This window comes from Homo sapiens, chromosome 2 (genome assembly GCF_000001405.40).
Source record: "Homo sapiens chromosome 2, GRCh38.p14 Primary Assembly".
Taxonomy (NCBI): Eukaryota; Metazoa; Chordata; class Mammalia; order Primates; family Hominidae; genus Homo; species Homo sapiens.
Genome location: NC_000002.12, coordinates 237,311,989 through 237,331,950, shown reverse-complemented (window position 1 = coordinate 237,331,950; position 19,962 = coordinate 237,311,989). Strand labels below are relative to the sequence as shown.

The 19,962-nt window shown below is 44.8% G+C and overlaps 1 protein-coding gene across 3 annotated transcripts in view, besides 3 other annotated features; it reads left to right on the top strand.

Moving 5' to 3' along the window:
- The window catches only part of COL6A3 (collagen type VI alpha 3 chain), a 90,147-nt gene extending 82,214 nt beyond the window's left edge, over nt 1-7,933 (top strand). For all 3 annotated transcript variants that reach the window (NM_057166.5, NM_057167.4, NM_004369.4), the window contains 2 exons: nt 6,227-6,391; nt 7,137-7,933. In NM_057166.5, the coding sequence (NP_476507.3) occupies nt 6,227-6,391; nt 7,137-7,177 (206 nt within the window). In that variant the 3' untranslated portion in view covers nt 7,178-7,933. The remainder of the gene's footprint in view (nt 1-6,226; nt 6,392-7,136) is intronic.
- Nucleotides 6,244-7,443: an enhancer, noted in NCBI's record as "CDK7 strongly-dependent group 2 enhancer chr2:238233151-238234350 (GRCh37/hg19 assembly coordinates)". NCBI's record gives its function as "activates an origin of replication core promoter dependent on BRD2, BRD4, P300/CBP, MED14 and CDK7 cofactors, with strong dependence on CDK7, by STARR-seq in HCT116 cells {active_cell/tissue: HCT116}" and the evidence as "EXISTENCE:reporter gene assay evidence [ECO:0000049][PMID:35650434]".
- Nucleotides 15,321-18,774: an enhancer, noted in NCBI's record as "VISTA enhancer hs1951". NCBI's record gives its function as "enhancer in: somite[9/11] | heart[11/11]" and the evidence as "EXISTENCE:transgenic organism evidence [ECO:0001131][PMID:17130149]".
- Nucleotides 16,121-16,721: an enhancer, noted in NCBI's record as "H3K27ac-H3K4me1 hESC enhancer chr2:238223873-238224473 (GRCh37/hg19 assembly coordinates)". NCBI's record gives its function as "activates a minimal SCP1, AML or CMV promoter by ChIP-STARR-seq in primed H9 embryonic stem cells {active_cell/tissue: H9 hESC(primed)}" and the evidence as "EXISTENCE:reporter gene assay evidence [ECO:0000049][PMID:30033119]".

Below are 19,962 nucleotides of genomic sequence, written 5' to 3'. Positions count from 1 at the left end.
TTTGAAATTGGGGCTTGTGTTTCTTTCAAGGCTGCAAGTAGTTGATACAGATGAATCTAAATAAAACCTTTCTCCTTCATACTAATTGGGGCATAACCCTCAGACCCAGGATGTGAATGTCCTCTCACCATTTCATGTGTGTGTGTCTGTGTATGTATGTGTGTACACATGCATATGTGTGTTTTCCTTCCCAGGGTGAAGACATAAATTACCTTTTTTTTTTTTTAAAAAAAGAACAAGGCCCTGCATAATTGATCTCTGATCTCTTAAACTTAATGACTTCATAGTAACAAACAAGCACTTAACCTGCCTTGGCCTGATGAATATATGTTGGTGTACACACAGTTATGGCATTTTTGAGAGCTCTTTTTGAATTACTAGGTTGGTGCGAAAGCAATTGCAGTTTTGCCACTGACAGTAATGGCAACAACTGGAATTACTTTCGCACCGACCTAATAAATGGGACATTTACTTAAAAATGTCTAAAATTCAAAATGGATAACCAGAATTAGGAGAGGAATCCTTATCCTCCCCACCCCTACCAACCTCTCTCCCTCCCCTCCTCACCTTCTCCTATAATTGTCATTTTAACTATTTCCCCTGGGGTGGGGGGAAAATTTTTTAATGGTTTTTATATATTTGGATATAGGAAAAGGAGTGACAATGAACCACTCTTTATTAAATAACTAAAAAAAGATAATAACTGCATGCTTACTCAGTAGTTGCATGTATATTTTGCATCCAAATTCCAATGACCACGATATGCATTATTTCTCCAAATATACATTTTCTAGACCATTCAGGCAAAATGAAGTTTTAAAAATATATTTTTTATATTTACATGTGTCCATTTTCATTCCTCTTACTTTCTGCAGCATCCATTAATTAGAAACATGTTTACAGAGATGGGTCCCTTTCTTAGTATTAAATAGTAGATGCTACTGTTTGCTTTTTTACTTCTGTGAATAAAAGATGCTGTCTTAAGAATCTGTATTTTTCATAGTTTATCATGTTAGATTCTGGGAACCTGGTGACCTGTGTTTGAATCTGTGAAGGAATTTGTAGGTAGAAACACTCTGAAATGAAAAGGTTCCTAGTCCTGGGCACCTAAGGCAGGGGAAGAGGAGAGGACCAGTGTTACCATTGGTTTTCGTTTGCATATGTTAATGTTTGCCCATTTTGACAGTCACATTGAATAGATGCTTGTTTATCAGGAATGTGAGTCAGGCATGTAATGCGAGGGCAGTCTGGTTGGGGCATTTTTTGTCCTCCATAAGATCTGGCCCTGTTTGGTATGTGGCAGGGAGACTCTCGCCTTTGAGATGAAGGTTGATTCTGTTAACAGGCCTTGATTCCATTAATATACCTAGGGCATCGTTAGCAACCACTCAGGATTCCAGCTTTACAATATTACATGATTTGATTTTCAGTGGTTAATATTTGTATTTTTTTAAATAAAACCAAATGAACCCCCACAAAAACATCTCACTCCACTTTTTGCTTTGCTCGGCATCTAAAAGAATTATGCTCCAGCCACTTTTCTGTCACACATCTGCTGCCTGTAAATGGCAGTGAGCAGCAGTGGATCTTTCATTCGTTACCGTGGCCTCCTGAAAGCATGGGTGTGCTGGGCCTTTCTGCCACCTGCTTTGTCGCTGCTGATTTTGACAGTGCTACGTAGTTGCTAATTTTGGTTTCAGGCTTTTGTTACCACCTCCCTCTTCTCCCTTCTCATTTTTAGCTAAGGAAGCTTTGGATAGATATTTTCTATGCATATTACTATTAAAGCTAAGACTGTCTAGAATTTCTAAACAACAACAACAACAACAAAAATCTAACTTAAAATTTACTTTTTGCAGTATTGCAAAATGAATCCTAAATTATTGGCTTAATCACCTGTGTTAAAGAAGTTTCAATGCAGAAACTAGACAAAACAACTAACAAAATCACCATGTCCTTTATTATTTATTCTTGAAATTAGCAATCTGTAGAACTGATCACATTTTGTCCGAGTAGACATGACTGGGCCAATTGTATAGCCCTGAAGGAACCATCATTTTGTGTTTACTAACGTTTTACTTATTGATTCTAAGATGCACAATTTTCTTCTCATTGGGACACTTCTGAAACTGAAATGTGACTTAGAATTGACAATATATCATGGTTTATTGGTAGCATTTTGTGTTACTTAGTGGAACATAAAATAATGGTGCATCATAAAATTAAGAGCTCTTATATTGGATACAATACAGTATTTGGTTGGCCATGTTCCATGTGAATATATATCATCAATTAGCATAAAATGGTATATTTGGGGGAAATACCTGACTTTATGTTAATAATAATTTAAAGAACAAACTAATCCCACAGCTGAAGTAAGTTAAATAGCTACAGGGATTTAGGAAATGGTCCTCTCCAGGCTGTCTGTTGTTCATCGCTGTGTGAGGATGTTTTCTGGTTAGTTGTCATGTGTGGGTTATGATGAGCCCAAAGGAGTGTTTTTTATCTTGAAGTCTTAAAAAATAGAAGTCTGTTGGTCAAGATCTGAAAGAGTAAAATTTAACCACAGCTACATTTTAAAATAAAGTTAAAAATTGGCCGGGTGTGATGGCTCATGCCTATAATCCCTGCACTTTGGGAGGCTGAGGCAGGAGGATCACTTGAGGTCAGGAGTTCGAGACCAGCCTGGCCAACATGGTGAAACCCTGTCTCTACTAAAAATGCAAAAATTAGCCAAGCATGATGGCTCATGCCTGTAATCCAGCTACTGAGGAGGCTGAGGCAGGAGAGTCACTTGAACCTGGGAGGCAGAGGTTGCAGTGAGCTGAGATCATACCTCTTCATTCCAGCCTGGGCAACAGAGTGAGACTCAGTATCTAAATAAGTAAATAAATTAAGTAAGTTAAAAATTTGGTAAGTTTCCTTGGTACCCTTTGAACTGACCAATGCTCAAAATGTAGACGGCGGAAAGTGTTTTCATTCAGGCAAATCATACCTGCATCCAAGGTATGGAAGTACTTTATACTGTAACAACAATGCCGAGTGAGAAGGTGATTGAATTTTCTTGTTTTGGGGACCATTAAACTGATGAGGAACATGTTGATGATTGCAGCATAAACACCTCTCAGTCTGTCTTCCTTCAGTTTGCTCAAGGAAGTACTTACATCGTGATTTGGAAATCAATATGTTTGGGAAATGTCAAAGCTGATGCCTTTAAAAATGCATTGAAACACTATGGGAATATCAAACTATGAAAAAGACAAGATTTTCCAATCAATATGTTTTCCACTTTGAAGAATACATATATTTTTTGCTGATTATAAAGTTAACAGATATGCATTGTCAAGCATTCAGGAGGTACAGAGAAATATATTACACGATTCTCATTGTGACAGCATTGCTGGCTTTTGATGAAAACCAATAGTGACCCGATGCATAGCCTTCCTATTTTTTTCTATGAATATTATTGCTTGTGGGAAGGTGCATGCATCGCACATGCACATCCACTCCTGCACATCATTATTACAAAAATGGACTGTGGGGCTTAGGGTGCCTTGCGCCCCAGTGTTTTTGAATGGTTGTTTTTAGGATGTTCTAGGTAGGCACCTGTGGCTTCTGGGAACAGGTGGGATTCCCAGAACAGGGTTTTAACCTAACATTGTGCTTGCCTCCATTTCCTCTCTTCTATTTGGTTACTTTCCTGAAGCCCAGTGACCAATAGTAAGGAAGTTTCAGCAGACAGTGGTCTGAGTCAGGCAGCCTTTCCCCTCTCTGTTTTCCAAGCAAACTTAGTTACATTGGTATTCTAGGTTAGGAAGCCGGGGAAGGTTGTGGATAATTTTCAGTCCCCATTGTCTTTTAGGCTCCCACTAGGTTCTCAATAATAAAGAAGAGCAAATTAAGGAAGACTCAGCCATGCGCTCCTCTCACATAAAGAGAAGGCTCTAGCTTCCTACAGGTTATACCTGGGGGGCAGACTGATTTCAGAGGGAAAAGATGAACAACTATTGCATCCAAAGACGTGTCGTTCTAGGGAAAAGTCCAGGTTAAGTTCAACGAGGGCCAGCCATCTCCCTTGGTACTCCAGGACATTTAAATACTTTTTTTTTTTTTTGCTTTAAAACAGTTGCTTTAACATATGCACTCATAGCTGAGTAGAGTCCAGCCAAAACGACATGTCTCAGAAGTCAAGATTATGTGGAGTTTGCATTAGAAGCCTTCTTAAGAACATAAAATCCTCCGTTTTCATGCTTCAGAAGTAGAGAAGTACAGGTTTTTGTCTTTGAATAGTGCCGGGTTCTCACCTCACTAATATATTTCTCTTGGTTTTCCAAATATCTTCTTGTCCACAGTAACAGTGTCCTTATTTTCCACTAGTAAATCTTACAGGGTCTCAGTAGTGACTCTCACTGAAATAAGGGCAGAAAACACCAGTGCCGTGGTGTGGAACTGGAGGGCTAGGGTGGAGGGCCAAGGAAGCTGGAGAAGCCAATCAGACGGGGAGTGGAGTGTGCTGCTGTGAGGCCACTCATGGGCTGGGTGTCCGTGGCTCTGGGCAGACCTCTCGTGACTGGTTCAGCAGAGCCCAGGGGACTGGGAATTGAACAGCTAAACACAGATGGTCAGGACTGAAGTGCACTTGAAACAAATAAAATAGAGCAAATAGGGTCCATTGGCCAACGCTCTGGGAAGGAAGGAAGAATAGGGAGATCATTTGACGCCGGCCTCACGCTAACAGGGAAGCCACCAGTAAATGAGGAATAAATTTTGATGGTTAAATTACCTTGCCTTGTCAGTTCTCTCCAGGACCTTCCTTGACAGCCAGGCATTTTCCTTCAGTTATTGGCATATTTGAGAGAAAGAAGGTTGTTTTTGTAAATTGTCTTCATTTTATTCTGACTTCCTGGAGTCTTCAAAGGCTCTCGTGGGGACCACTGGCTTTCTGGGCCCTGAGAGCGTCTGCAACTAGGAGGTGTTGTAACTGTGGAGCCACCAGCCACCAGCCTGGAATTTGGGTGACAGCAGCAACCAGGAAATGTTTTAGACCAATTCTGAGCCTCAGTCCTGTGCACCTTTGAGTCTGGTCCATCGTGGGTGATCCAAGCTATGATTATCCACTGAAGACTTAGGTTTTCCTTGTCCTTTTTGGTATCTATCTGAAGCACAGATGCTCACCACCTCCGCAGCTGTGAGCAGCCTGCCTCGCTGGGGACAAAGGAGATGGAGAAGCATCTCTTTGTAGGGGAGAGCTGGATAATTCCAGCCTGTTAGCTACTCACAGGAACATGCAGAATTATTGGCTCCAGGGAGTTTTGGAGAAAGAAGGTTTACGTTTTCAAACTTACAGATAACAGTTGACATCAATGCTTCTCTTTCCCAGAACAATCTGGAGTTTGCCAGAAAACTCTGTAAACAGGAGTCGTGCTGTGTGTGAACTGTAAACTCTTCTCTCCAGGCGTCGAGGGGACCTTTGCTTTACTTTGCAGCTGGGCTACATCAGACGTGTGCATTGGAAACATAAACTTCCTTAACTGGGAAAAGAATGCTTCTCTGTCTTCAAAATAGTTCTGCTATGTGACATTTTTGCCATCATGAATTTTACATCAGTGCTAGCTCTTTGTTTTACGTGTTTCATTTGGCAGGTCACAAAGGCTCTTGGCTACCACACATACGTGCATACACACACACACACACACACACACACACTCATAAAGGATTTTCTTTTCTGCTTTACCTTTAATTTTCAGTCTACTTGGCTTGTAATGAAAGGTAGAGCCTTATTTTTGAACTATATCCCAACAGAATCGAATTTCCATTTTGCCAAGAATTATAAAACCCTGAGGTTTTAAAATTCAGTTTCTTTTCTGGGGATTTAACATGGAAGGACTTGGAGGGCAAATGGCCCAGTGATTGGAAAGGGGAAAAACAATTCATTTCATTTAAAATTATTCAATAACCATTGCCAGCATTTGGGATTCTGAGTGCTGTTTATGAAGCCCTTTCATTGATATAATTTCATCTATCTCTCACAAGGCTGTAAGCAATTCCTATGTCCATATGGCAGTGAGGAAATGGAGATTTGAGCAGGTTAAGGGAGTTTTCACCTGGAAGCTCTTCTTTTTTTTCCTTCTGCCACAGTAGGGTCATCAGACTGTCAGCCCCAGCACTGGGAGCCGAGTAACACGCATGTTCTCATTAATATCCTTTTCTCATGTTTTTATTAAAGATATATGCAAGTTGCCGAAAGACGAAGGAACTTGCAGGGATTTCATATTAAAATGGTACTATGATCCAAACACCAAAAGCTGTGCAAGATTCTGGTATGGAGGTTGTGGTGGAAACGAAAACAAATTTGGATCACAGAAAGAATGTGAAAAGGTTTGCGCTCCTGGTAAGTGATTCTTCCTTGTGTTTATGGCTTCTGCAAATAAGAGATTCAGGTCAATAAGTCACCTTGAAAAATATTAGAAGTGCAATGATTATGATACATGTGAAAAAGAAGATAAAGTGTATCCTCAGATAAGGAAGACGTTCAAATACAACCCATGAAATGTCTTTTTGAATTCCTATTTTGGGTTTCTAAAAACATATTGTCCCTTGTCATTCTTCAGAAATGTTACTAAGTTGCTGTTATTTGTAAAATATTGCACCAAAAATGATTCCTGGGAAGATAATATAATGAACAACTACAGATAACGCCAAAGATAAACAACCCCCACAAATTTATCTTTTAAATAGTTTTGCTTCCTATAAATAACAATGTTGTCACTGGGGCCATCCAGTATCTCCATTATATTGTGCAGTTCAACTGGTAATAAAATAAACACTTTGAACAGAGCCTGGGGTCAGTGCCAGAATGGGGAGAGTTCAGTTCGTATAAAGGCCTGGTAGATGGTGCAGGGCAAAAGAATGGGATCAGATTTCCCAGACATCCCTGGGCCCCGGGGCCCCAGGCCAAGAACGTCACAGAGGGCCTTTGATGGTACTGAGTAGAAAAGTGGGACAGGTGATGGAAACCAGAGGCTGCGGGACTGTGTCATGATAATGACAGTGCCCTTTTGGGTCAGTAATGTGGCTTTTCCTCTCTTCTCTCGGCTCCTCACCTCACCCCACCCACCCCCTCTCTCGACGCTCAGTGCTCGCCAAACCCGGAGTCATCAGTGTGATGGGAACCTAAGCGTGGGTGGCCAACATCATATACCTCTTGAAGAAGAAGGAGTCAGCCATCGCCAACTTGTCTCTGTAGAAGCTCCGGGTGTAGATTCCCTTGCACTGTATCATTTCATGCTTTGATTTACACTCGAACTCGGGAGGGAACATCCTGCTGCATGACCTATCAGTATGGTGCTAATGTGTCTGTGGACCCTCGCTCTCTGTCTCCAGGCAGTTCTCTCGAATACTTTGAATGTTGTGTAACAGTTAGCCACTGCTGGTGTTTATGTGAACATTCCTATCAATCCAAATTCCCTCTGGAGTTTCATGTTATGCCTGTTGCAGGCAAATGTAAAGTCTAGAAAATAATGCAAATGTCACGGCTACTCTATATACTTTTGCTTGGTTCATTTTTTTTCCCTTTTAGTTAAGCATGACTTTAGATGGGAAGCCTGTGTATCGTGGAGAAACAAGAGACCAACTTTTTCATTCCCTGCCCCCAATTTCCCAGACTAGATTTCAAGCTAATTTTCTTTTTCTGAAGCCTCTAACAAATGATCTAGTTCAGAAGGAAGCAAAATCCCTTAATCTATGTGCACCGTTGGGACCAATGCCTTAATTAAAGAATTTAAAAAAGTTGTAATAGAGAATATTTTTGGCATTCCTCTAATGTTGTGTGTTTTTTTTTTGTGTGTGCTGGAGGGAGGGGATTTAATTTTAATTTTAAAATGTTTAGGAAATTTATACAAAGAAACTTTTTAATAAAGTATATTGAAAGTTTCCTGGGTGTGACGTTCTTGGCAGTCTTGTTTCCATAGCAGCGATTGTCAGAATCACCCCTAGGCTGGGGAAACTGGGTTTGGTTCTGGCCCCATGGAGCTGTGCAACAGCCTTTCGTTTCCAGTGGAGGAGGCAAAAGAGCTTTATCAGCCAGTGTGCAAAGAGACCGGCTGGAGACAAGCATCCCCCGCTTTGTGGATTCAGCCCCACATGCTCCAGTGCTCCATGGCCGAGCGGAAGGTGTTCCTGCTGTTGGGTCCCGGCAGTGTTTCTGATTTTCAGAGTCAGGCTGGCTTCTATCTTTTCCTCTGACTCTTGGTTGGCCCTCAGAGCCTCAGCCTCCTCCTGTCTTCCTCTCCACAGTGATCCTTTCCCAGGGGGTTGATTTGCTTCCTCTCACAATGGCTGAGAGATTCAGTGTTGCCCCACGACCCCCAACCCCTTTTCTGGAGTCTCAAAGCACAAGGTCTTTCATTTTTTTGTTTTTCTTAAAGACTGTTTTTTTCTCTCTTCAGAAATAATACAAGAAACCAACAAATACATATTCAGGTGGCACTTGAGTTCCACTTACAAAGGAAACAACTTATTGGATAAAATACATATGTCCTGACAAGTGCTGAGGGTAGAATTACAGGAATCTTGGGTGTCAGCAGAAATGTTTTATGTAAAATCGGGATGAATTTGCCAGTTGGTCTATTGGGAAAGGAGAGAGGAGTGTGGCCCTCTTCAGAAGCGCCACTTAGTCCCCACAAGGTCGCCATGACCTCCTCCCCAGTCCTCTTCTATCTCGGCAGCTACCATGGGGTGCTCAGGTCAGTGTGCTCTGAGCTGTGACCCTTGGTGACCAACCCTGGGATCTGCCAGGCACCCAACACCAGCCTCTTGCAGGAACTTGCGGAGCAGAGAGCTGTGGGCCCAGCTCCCATAGCGGTGGGCTGAGTGCTCCACTTCCCAAGGGATCCCTGCCCCCGCCACCCCCATTGACTTGATCTGCTATGGACCTAAAATGAGCATCACAATCTGGTTTTACTTTTTGGGTTCCTCCGGAAGCAGCCCTTAGGACTAAGGATATGGGTGTGAGTAGTTTATTTGGGAGGTGAAGGAAGTCACTGAGTGGCTGAGAAGTGGGGAGTGAGACAAGCAAAGGGAGAGCACTGTTAAGAGGTGTATAGTCAGCGTCCACTGTGGGTGCCCAGAGCCCAATCCCTCGGGGAAACCCTGGGAGGTGCACCTGTGGCACTGCACCTCGTAGGCCAGCAGAGGGCTGAAGGAGTTTGGGTAGTCATACACCTGTTTCCACGGGTCACTGAGGCATTCATGCTCTGGTCCTCTTGGCTTGCAGGCACACTGGCAAAGGGGCCTTCTGTAGTGTAAGAAAATGTTCTTGGCAAAGACCTGCAGATACTCCCATGTGGAACTTGGGGGAGTAGTCAGGCCCAAGGTACAGGAGTAGGACACCAATATTTGTAACATACCTAGATGGTCTGCTCAAGGTGTGTTACAATAGACTGGGGCAGGGCCCATCACTAGGAGACTCACTTCCAAGGGCTCCAGAACCCTCTCTCCCTTTCCACCTCCTGTTGCCAGCATGCCCATCCCTGCCATTCTTGGTTCACTCTATCTATGCATTGCTTCTCTGTGTGTGTCCCTTGGCTGCTCAAGGTTGCTGGGACAATCACACCCACCATCTCACCTGACTCAGGAGAAGCAGGAAGTGATGTAAGTCCAGGTGAGTGGCTGGTTAAGCTGTGTGTGCTGCTAACTTAGGGTAAGGCAAGGTGCTCAGGTGGTGGATGGGCAGTTTCTCCCATTTATTCCCACAGAGCAAATAAAACAAAATCCTTTGTTACATTGTCTGTCCTAACTTAGGGTTCAGCAAAACATGATCTGAGCTGCAGGATTCCTGACCCCTTGACAGCTCGTGGATTTCTCTTCCCAAGACATTCTTCTGCCAGACTATGCCAAGGACTCTGTGTCCTTTCTTGAACCCTGACATGTCCCTGACCCTCATATCCACTCAGCTCTCTCTGGGGAAGCCTCCAGCCTGGCCCGTGGAAGGTGGCCTGCCAATAAAGAAAACCTGTTTTGGATTTTGTGACTAAGAAATAAACTTCTATTGAAGTAAGAGACTGAGGTCTTGGGCTGTTCTAGCAGCTGGTGTGACCGTAACGAACACAGCGCACCTTTATCCAGAAGCCTTTGTGGGTCAGGTGCTGTACTAGGTGTTTCACACACATCTTAGGTGGTGCCGTTCAGTAGCGGTCATTGTTCCAGTTTTAAAGATGATGAAACAGAGGGTCAGAGTGGTCCTTTTCACCCAGCTATGTTCTAATGGAGGATCTGGGCAAGTTATGGTGACCCAGAAGCCCTCTCAGAGTTCCAAGGTTGGCTCCTGTGGGACGCTCACTGCCATTCTCTAGATGTTTCTGGCTCTTTCTCTGGAAGTCAGATCTAAGCCATGTGTCTTTTCCCAGAACAAAGCATGCCCTCCACATGACCCTCCCCAAGACCTTCCGTCACTCTTTCTCAGACAGCAAGTCTCTATCCTTCTCCTTCCTTTCATTGTAGTCTTTTCCATCTCTTCTCATTATCCTGAGCTGCTCTGGCTTAGGAAAGAACTTGGAGAAGCTGGGGGCTCTGGCACGCATTGAGGGCTTGCGCAGAAGGTGGCCTGGGCTGAGTATGGCCTGCCTGGGCTCCAAGGCCGAGTCACGAGGACGTCTATTTGTGCTCAACTGTGAGCACATCTCAATCCTTTCAACAGCAGCTTTGCTGGATTTTTAAATACAAGTGCTTTATACTTTCATTCCCTCAACGATTTTCTGCATAATTAAAAAGAAATCACAGCACTTATGAATGGGTGCCAGGCTTTTTGTAGAAAGCCAATGTTTTGAACCCTCAAGAACCATTTTAAATTTCTTTCCCCATGGTGGTTCATTTTTAGGAGATGGTTCGTATTTTCCTGCCAAATTTCCATTGTTGTCAGATTTCCAGCTGGACCTAGCTGCTCTTCATGAGCCAGGCTCTCAGGGTTCCACCTATCTGGGTGTGGCTTCCGGAGAAGTTGGGGACTGCTGACACTGCCAGGCCAGGGGGCCCAGTCCAGAGGCTGCCCTCTGCCATACCCCTCCTCGGTTTAGTTTGGGTCTGAGCTTTGCCGCTGCCTGTGCCTCCCCTTCCCTGGGAGATGAATACTGATGGTGAGCTGCTGTAAGAGCCATGGGATTCCTGGGGTCTTCCTGCTTTCTTGGAATCATGCTCTCCAGCTTTGGGCCACCCCTCAGCATTCCTGAGATCCCATGCAGAGCCAGTTCAGAAATCCTTTTCCGTGGTATTCCCTAGTCTTCCACCCAACTTTATGGTGGGTATAAATCTGCTAAAGACCAAAACACCAAAGAAGTAGTATTTTGGAATCTAGTAGTCAAAGCTTGAAGGCATTTGGTCATGAGTGATGGGAAAAGGCCAGTGATTCAAGGGCCTCTGTGCATGATGGTGACACCACCCAAGTATCGCTCAACCTGGAAAACTGATATTGTTTTCCTGCCTATGTCAGATGTCTCTGTGAAAACCATGCTGCTGTTGCAAAAAGTCATCTAAGAGAAGGCATTTGGGCATCTGCAAAGGGAGCTAGCTATGCATGTTTGATTTCAAGAGACTAGTAAATTCCCAGCATTTACATGAATTTTATAAGAGATGTTAGAAACAGAAATAGCACAATAAAAAGAAATTGTCAGAACTTGTATATCTGGGAAAGAATATTTGTTTTGAAAGACCCCATTTAAAACAGTTACATTTGATAGGAGTTGTAGTTGAAGAAGCTGACTGGTCATTCATAAACCAGTCTTATGTTGAGTTCCCCGAAAGCAGATCCTGACCAAGTTTTGGCTGCAGTCATTTGTTTCGGAAGGTGTGTGGGAAGCACAAATGAGGCCACTGAGAAGCAAGACAAAGAAGTTGGCAAGTCAAGGGATGGTGCATTAACTAAAAGCATGTTACCCTTGAGAGCAACTGGGGCTCAGTCTCCCTGGAAACCCACTGAGAAAGTGGGGAGAATGCTACGAGGAACAGAAAGCTGGACGTTTATGGACTGACCCTCATCTCTCTTTGGTTGGAGGTTGTAGTAGTCACCATTATCTAGAGGGACAGGACTAATAGGATAGACATATATATGAAAGGGAGTTTATTAAGGAGTATTGACTTACACGATCACAAGATGAAGTCCCACAATAGGCCGTCTGCAAGCTGAGGAGCAAGGAAGCCAGTCTGAGTCCCAAAACCTCAAAAGTGGGGAAGCTGGCAGTGCAGTCTTCAGTGTGTGACCGAAGGCCCGAGAGCCCCTGGCAAACCATTGGTGTAAGTCCAAGAGTCCAAAAGCCGACGAACTTGGAGTCTGATGTATCAGGGCAGGAAGCATCCAGCACGGGAGAAAGACGAAGGCGGGAAGACTCAGCCAGTCTAGTCCTTCCACGTTTTTCTGCCTGCTTTTTTCTGGCTGCACTGGCATCAGATTAGATAGTGCCCAAACAGACTGAGGTGGGTCTGCCTCTCCCAGTCCACTGACTCAAATGTTAATCTCCCTTGGCAACACCCTCACAGACACACCCAGGAACAATACTTTGTATCCTTCAATCCGGTCAAGTTGACACTCACAGGGGTTGACCTGGGGGCGTTACACGCCAGCATTTTGAGGCTGCCCTGCACACACTGTTGCTAGAAAAGTAAAGCAGAGAAGAAGAGGGATGTGGGCCACTGAGGTGGAGTGCTGTCAGCACACCTGGAAGCAGCCAGCACAGCTGCAGGGGAGCACAGAGGCGGGCCGAGGAGCAAGGTATAAACAGCATCAGCAATCAGCCAGTTTGAACATGAACCTATAGAAATTGAAGTGTCTTTAACATGAAGTTGATTAGAGAGGGTTGCCTAGATGAGGATGATAATAGAGACATATTGTCCACTCCTGATTACTCTGATGGAAAGAAATGAGGTGATTTATGGATTAAGCACAGCTTCTGAGCTCTTAAACTGTAGCCCACGGTATGCCCAGCCCTCTACCAGATGGGGGTCAGCAAACTTCTGGTAAAGGACCCCACCAGCGTCCAGTGGTTTTGGGGCTCCAGCAAGAGCCATCGAGCCTGTGCTGTGTCTGTGAATTTCAGTGGTGGCTCGGGCTGCCCAACTCCCTTGTTCCTTTCCATTTGTGGAACTGAACCTGATTTGCTAGCCTTCCCATTGTTGCTATAAACTACTCAATATTTTTCCAATAATTCAATTTTCTTCATATGTTAACCAGAGTAAGTTTCTGTCCCTTGCTGCCTAGAGCCTGGACAGGTACACAGTCTTTCATTCAATCACTTATTCAACAAACATTTGCTGAGCACCTAACATGTGTCAGGTATTAGACAAGGCACTGGGGATGCAGGGGTGGGGTGGACAGCACACATGTCTTCCTCTTGTGTTCCTTACACGGCAAGGGAAGTAGGTGGCAAACACACAAAACCCTCGGTAAATAAGGACGTGTGAGCTGCAGTGGAGGCTGTCTGATGAGGTACTGCATGTTTAAGGCAAGCCTTTCTGAAGAGTTGATTTATGAGCTAAAAAAAAAAAAAAAAAAAAAAAACCAAGAGAGGCCAGCACGGTGGTTCACGTCTGTAATCCCAGCACCAAGGGAGACCGAGGCAGGTGGATCACTTAGGAGTTCAGGACCAGCCTAGCCAACATGGTGAAACCTCTCTACTAAAAATACAACAACAACAACAAAATTAGCTGGGCATGGTGGCACATGCTTGTAATCCTAGCTAGTAGGGAGGCTGAGGCAGGAGAATTGCTTGAACCTGGGAGACAGAGGTTGCAGTGAGCCGAGATCGCACCACTGCACTCCAGCCTGGTAACAGAACAAGACTCTGTCTCAAGAAACAAAAAACAAACAACAAAAAATCCCAAGACAGCCACCTTTGGGAAGACCTGAAGGAAGATTCCAGATCCAGAGAGGGCCTGGATCTGAGATCCTGGGTAGAGAAATGACTGTGACATGTTTGAGAAACAGCAAGATGGCCAGTGTGGCTGGAGTCAAACAAATAAGCGGATAAATTTTTGGAGTTGAAGTCTGAGAGAGAATGGCCAAGTCAGGCCCCAAAACTCTTTCATAACTAACGAGTTGTGGATTGTACTTTAATGTGATGGAAAGCCATTGGGAGCTTTAAGCCGGGCAGTCCTGGGTGTGACATGTGATTCTTTGAGGAGGCGGGGTAGTCAATCAAAAATTCTGCCATGCGTATTAGAACTTAGGATGCTATTGAACTTTGAAGCGGTGATATGAGGAAGACAGTTGAAGTTCAGAGGAGAGGGTGGGGCTAAGGATATACATTCAGCAGTTTGGAAATATACCATATTCGAAGCCTAGATTTATGGTGCGATTTCATTGCTTGAGAGTATAGATGAAGAGGGACAGGGAGTCAGGAGAGGCCTGTCTGTGCCCTGGCGGTTAGAGGTTGAGCAGAGAAGACAGGCTTGGTGAAAGAGGCTGAGGAGGAGTGTTTGTAGAAATAAGAAGAGAATCAGTAGAGACAGGTGTCATGCAAGGACAGCGTTGGCAGAAGCTGTGTCAAAATGAACAGAGCAGTCACCTGTGCTGAATGCTGCTCATGGTTTAGAAAACAGAGAGCAGGAAGGAGAGAGTATTCTTGGGGCTGTGGTATGTAGTGAGTTAGGATGCTCTCAGCAGCCAGGAACTGAAACCCCATCTCGCATTGGCTTAGATCACGAAGTCACTGGTTGTCCCCATTTCACAGAAATCCAGAGCACAGGCTGTGGGAGGAGTCAAAGATGCCATCAAGGACCCAGGTTTTCCCATCTCTCTGGACTATTTTCAGCTTGGGCCCCACTCTTAGGCTAGTAACAAGTCTCATGTGGACACAATGATATTTAAAGGAAGAAGGAAGACCATCCTTTCTGTGGCTTTTCTCCAGAAAGCTCCCTGGCAGATGTCCCCTGGCAGTCCATTGGTTGGAAATGGGTTGCATGCCTCTAAGCCAATGTTGGGAATAAGAATAGAATCCGTGGATCACCTGAGGTCAGGAGTTTGAGACCAGCCTGGCCAACATTGTGAAATCCCGTCTACTAAAAATACAAAAATTAGCCATGCATGCGTGGTGGTGCATGCCTATAATCCCAGCTATTTGGGAGGCTGAGGCAGGAGAATCACTTGAACCCAGGAGGTGGAGATTGCAGTGAGCCCAGATCATGTCACTACACTCCAGCCTGGGTGACAGAGCAAGACTTCGTCAAAAAAACAAAAAACAAAAAACAAAAACAACCGGAACCCCTGTTAGGTTAATTAAGCCCACCCCTGTGGAGAGACGCGGGAACCTGAGGGCTGTGGTGGGGAGGATATGGGAGGACTGCGTTCATCACTGCTCCCGTATAAGTTCATGTGTATGCAGCCATGACACACAGTCATCAGTGACATTTAAGAGTCTGTAGTTCACCCTATATAGGCATAGGTATAGGCATCACCTTCCCTACTAACTCCCTTGACAGTTTCCAAAAGAGGCAAAACAACAGAAACAAAGCTTTCTAGTTTTTGTTTAAGGGAAGCACTTAAAGTAATAAGACTTAATGACACGTAAAGTCTATTGTGGTTTCCTCACTGTGGGACAGGAAAACTGGGTCCTTATGTGACTGTCAACCTGACTGCCTCAACTAGACATGACTTTGCTGACTGTCTAGATTTGAATGTTGGGGGTCTGTGCCCATCATCCTAACCACACTTTTTTCCTGTCTTCTTCATTTGCTGGTGGCCTTCATTAATTCCTGGGCCAGGTCTAATGCTTGTGACCTAAGACAGTGATTTGGAAAACAGTACGAAGATTGAGTACAAGTTTAGGGCTGTGCAGAAGGACCTCAAGAGTGTCTCTATCTTTGTTTTTCTGTGAGGCAAAAGAGGACTTTGGCAATAGATTGCCTGGCCCTTATCTATACACAATGAGTCGTTTGTTGAATTTCCCACCTCATGGGGCGGGGGAACGAATGCTACTCAGTGTAAGATGCAACTTCAGGATAAGAAAGATAAATATTAACCGTTTCCAGAAAAAACTTATGCGTGTTTAATGATATTCAGAATAAAGGTCTCAAATTAGAATATATTCTAATTCTGTTTTATTCTATTCTATTCTAGTCTGTTTTAGAATATATTCAGAAAACTGTTTCTTTCCACGAGGTTGCCCTGGGAGAAGCTTGAGCTGAGGCCTGAGTCTGCTTAACATCAGGCTGTAACCAGCTGGCCAAACAGCTTTGATTTGTGAAGTCAGTGTCTGAGGGGAATTTATATGAGTGGCTCTAGGGTCTCTGCCACAAATAAATCACACAGGGACCTCTTTTCCTGAGACGACCGGAATGCAATGGAACAATCGGCTCAAATCCCTGTACTTATTTGAATTTCAATATAAAAATCCATTTTCACCTACAGCACGTTCATAAGCAGATCTCTGTTAGTTCACTTGCCCCTGAAGAGCTCTCTAGGATGGAAATCCGTTCCTGTCCCAGGATCCATGCTCCTGTCCCTGTGGCCATGTGATCTGAATTTCTCTTGCCTTTTAAGGAAACAGGCTCTGCTGCTGGCCTTGGTTCAGCCGCTGCATTCCAGCCTGCACACATGGAACGCATTGCCTGCCACTGAGCAGGACAGCCTCGCCAGCGTGGCAGAGAGCAGCACTAAAAATAGCGGGGTGCAGCTCAGCAGGCTCTGCCGCGCAGCCTGGCTGTCTTCTGTGGAAGTGGAGGCACTGTCTGCGGAGCCTCATCAGGACTCAGCTGATTCCCTTGTTTGGCTGAAGTTGTTACTCAAACCCCAACCCAAATTAATTGTTGATGTACAGAGAAAGGGCACCATTCTGGAGCCTCTCGGGGTCACTCCCTTTGTGACCTCCCTGAGCACAAGGCTTAGGCCTCCTTAGGCTCCAGGAGCAGGAGTGGGATTCTCACTAGACAATTTCAAAGTGGGTTGAATGTGTGATAACAGGGGATGTATTGGCAGCCAGGGCAGCCACTGCGATGGTGGCTCAGAGACCCCCCTCAGCCTCAGTCCCTTGGGGTCCTTTTGGAGCTCACGGAGCATACTTGGTCTAGGTGGAGTCACAGTCTTGTGTCTTCAAGGGCTGGGTGGGTCTCTTGGGCAGAGGAGGAGCAAAGCACTAGGGACTGCTGGGGCTTGAGGCAAATAAGGAAGAGGTGTCCATTCTAAAGGCATTGGGGTTTGAAGACTTGAATACACTCCTGCCAAATAAACGTCTTCTGGGCAACTCTGGCCCTTGAGCCACCAGCTTGCAATCTCTGGTTTAGAGGCACTGAGTTAAATGCACCTCTAAGTACATGTTTCTGTGTCTGGTCTTCTGTAGAGTGCTGCGCAAAGCTTCATCTGGCCTGGGAATGAATGCCCTTGCCCTTGACCAAAAGATCATTGAATGTGACCCCAACAGAAAGACTGTACAGATGACAGACCTAGGTTTTATAGTGAATGCATAGGTGTTTCGGCGTGAGAGTGGCCGGAGTTGTCTGAAGGTCCGGTTGTGTTAAGTAGCCTGTTTCTATGAAGAATAAGCAGAGTTCTTGACACAATGCAGATGCGCGTTCTGGATGTGCTGCTGAACCAGTGCCATGAGGAAAGAGGAGACCAAGCTTTATTAGGCACCAGATGCCGAGGAAGCTTCCATAAATGGAGAGCCTGAAGAAAGGAGCTTCTAGAAGGAATGCTTCAGACCAGGTCCTCCAGCTCCAACTGGCCTTGGAGATTTGGCCTATACTGGTCATCATCCTATCTGGTAATTAAAAAATCCAAGCAGATCCAAGAACAATCATGCTGGCACGGGCGTACGTGTAAGTTTTAATGTCTGGTAACCATTTTGGTGTGTAGTTAGCAAGCAATGGTCTGTGCTATGGGATGTGCATCCACAAGGATGAATGCATTAGAGTTTCTGTCTCTCTGGCCTAGCAGGGGAAACAGATGTATAAACAATGACTGCTGTGCAAAATGATAGGAGCTTTGATGAAGGCATGCGTGCCATCAAGAGACCCTCTGTGAACCACGCACTGTGAAAAGCAGTGGGGATAAGAAAATGAAAAATCTTGGCCCTTGCTCTTAAATAGCATTGAGAGACAGATGCACAGGCAAGTAAAGACAAGATAATATTTGTTCCAATTGAGGTGAGGGTGAAGCCTGGGAGTTGAGGAGAAACACATTCACGTCTACTCAACAGCACCTGGGGAGACTGAGTAGCAGGGCTGGCATTTCAGTAGGGCTGAAAGGATGAGACGTTTCTGCACGGTGAGTGCTTGTGCACGTGCAAACACTTGACGTCTCTGGAGAGAGGGGATTATTTAGGGGGCATGAGCTTTGTCATTGGGGCCCTTCCTGGGATAGTGGAGATCTGGCAGGGCTGATAGCTGACAAATAGGTCTTGAAGGGCCCTGTCTGTCATACAAAGGAGTTTATGTTTAAGACAGCACAGAGGGAGGAACATTGACTAAGTGTTTAAGGAAGCAGAGGACATGATTGCATTTCAGTATCCAGGACAATCTACTCTCCATTTTCCCTTATAATGAACTATTAGGTTTATGTCAAGTGGAGCAGGGAGGACGTGAACAGTCTAGAGAGAGAGATGTGAAGGCTTTCCTGAGGACTGTAGCCCTGGGCAAGGGAAGGGGTGGGGGATTGAAGAGATGGGAAGGAGACAATGAGGGGATCCGGGCTGGTGGCTGGCTGGATGTGTCTGGTGAGGAGAGGGCTGAGCGACAAGGGTGCCCAACTGTCTGGGTGCATGGTGGAACCGTTCTTGAGACAGGGAACACATGATGAGCTATGCAATGGTCAAGAAAATTAATGCATCCTGCTTTTGAGTCCTTATGGGGTACAAGCTAATTAGCCAGCAGTTAGATCTATTCATCCAAGCATGGCAAGGAAGCCTTGGATTCAAATGCTGTCACCCAGAGAGAATGTATAGTGAGCAAAGAGAGGCAAGGGCCACTGAGGAGCATCTGCCTTTCGGGATGGACACAGGGATGGGGCCTTCCGCAGGTTTCAAGGGGAATGGAAGAGAGGAAGAAGGAGGTGGGAGGGTGGATTCTGGAAACTGAGTGAGGGTGGGAGAGAACATCAAGGAGAAGAATGTGGCCAGCAGTGTCCAGTATTCGGCGGTCCTTCCTAATGAGATCACGGTTGTGTTTCTCGTGACTGAGTATGATTCTGCAGCTTGGTTTTCATAAACTCCTGATCTTTCATAGGTATGCGTGTACCACTGTCACGCCGTCTCATTTTCTTGGACACCTATGTCGTTTCTACTTTTTCACTCCACAGTGATGGCACACTTTTATCACAACATAGCGATGAGTAACATTTGCATAGCTATTTACCCAGTTCTCTTTTTGTTACTTCAGGACAAATTGCAAGAAATGAAATATGTGTGTCCAAGATGGCTCATGTTTTAAAGTCTTTTGGGATGCATCATCAAACTGCCCGCTAGAGAAGCTACACCAACTTATACGCCCACTAATGGTCTTTTATTGTATTGTATTGTATTTTATATTTTGTTTTTGTTTTTGAAACAGAGTCTCACCCTGCCATCCAGGCTAGAGTGCAGTGGTGTGATCTCAGCTCACTGCAACCTCTGCCTCCCAGGTTCAAGTGATTCTCGTGCCTCAGATTCCCGAGTAGCTGAGATTACAGATGCCCACCAGCATGCCCGGCTAATTTTTTGTATTTTTAGTAGAGACAGGGTTTTGCCATATTGGCCAGGCTGGTCGGTCTGGAACTCCTGGCCTCAGGTGATCCACCCACCTTAGCTTCCCAAAGTGCTGGGAATACAGCCGTGAGCCAATGCACCCAACCCACTAATGGTCTTTTAAATGTCTCATCTCTCATCTAAAAATATGTTCATTTTTACTAAATCTTTGTTGCTAATTTGATTTGTGAAATTGATGTTGCATTATTTTGATTGGTTAAAATTACTAGTGAAGTTAAAATTTTAAACAATTTATTCTAAA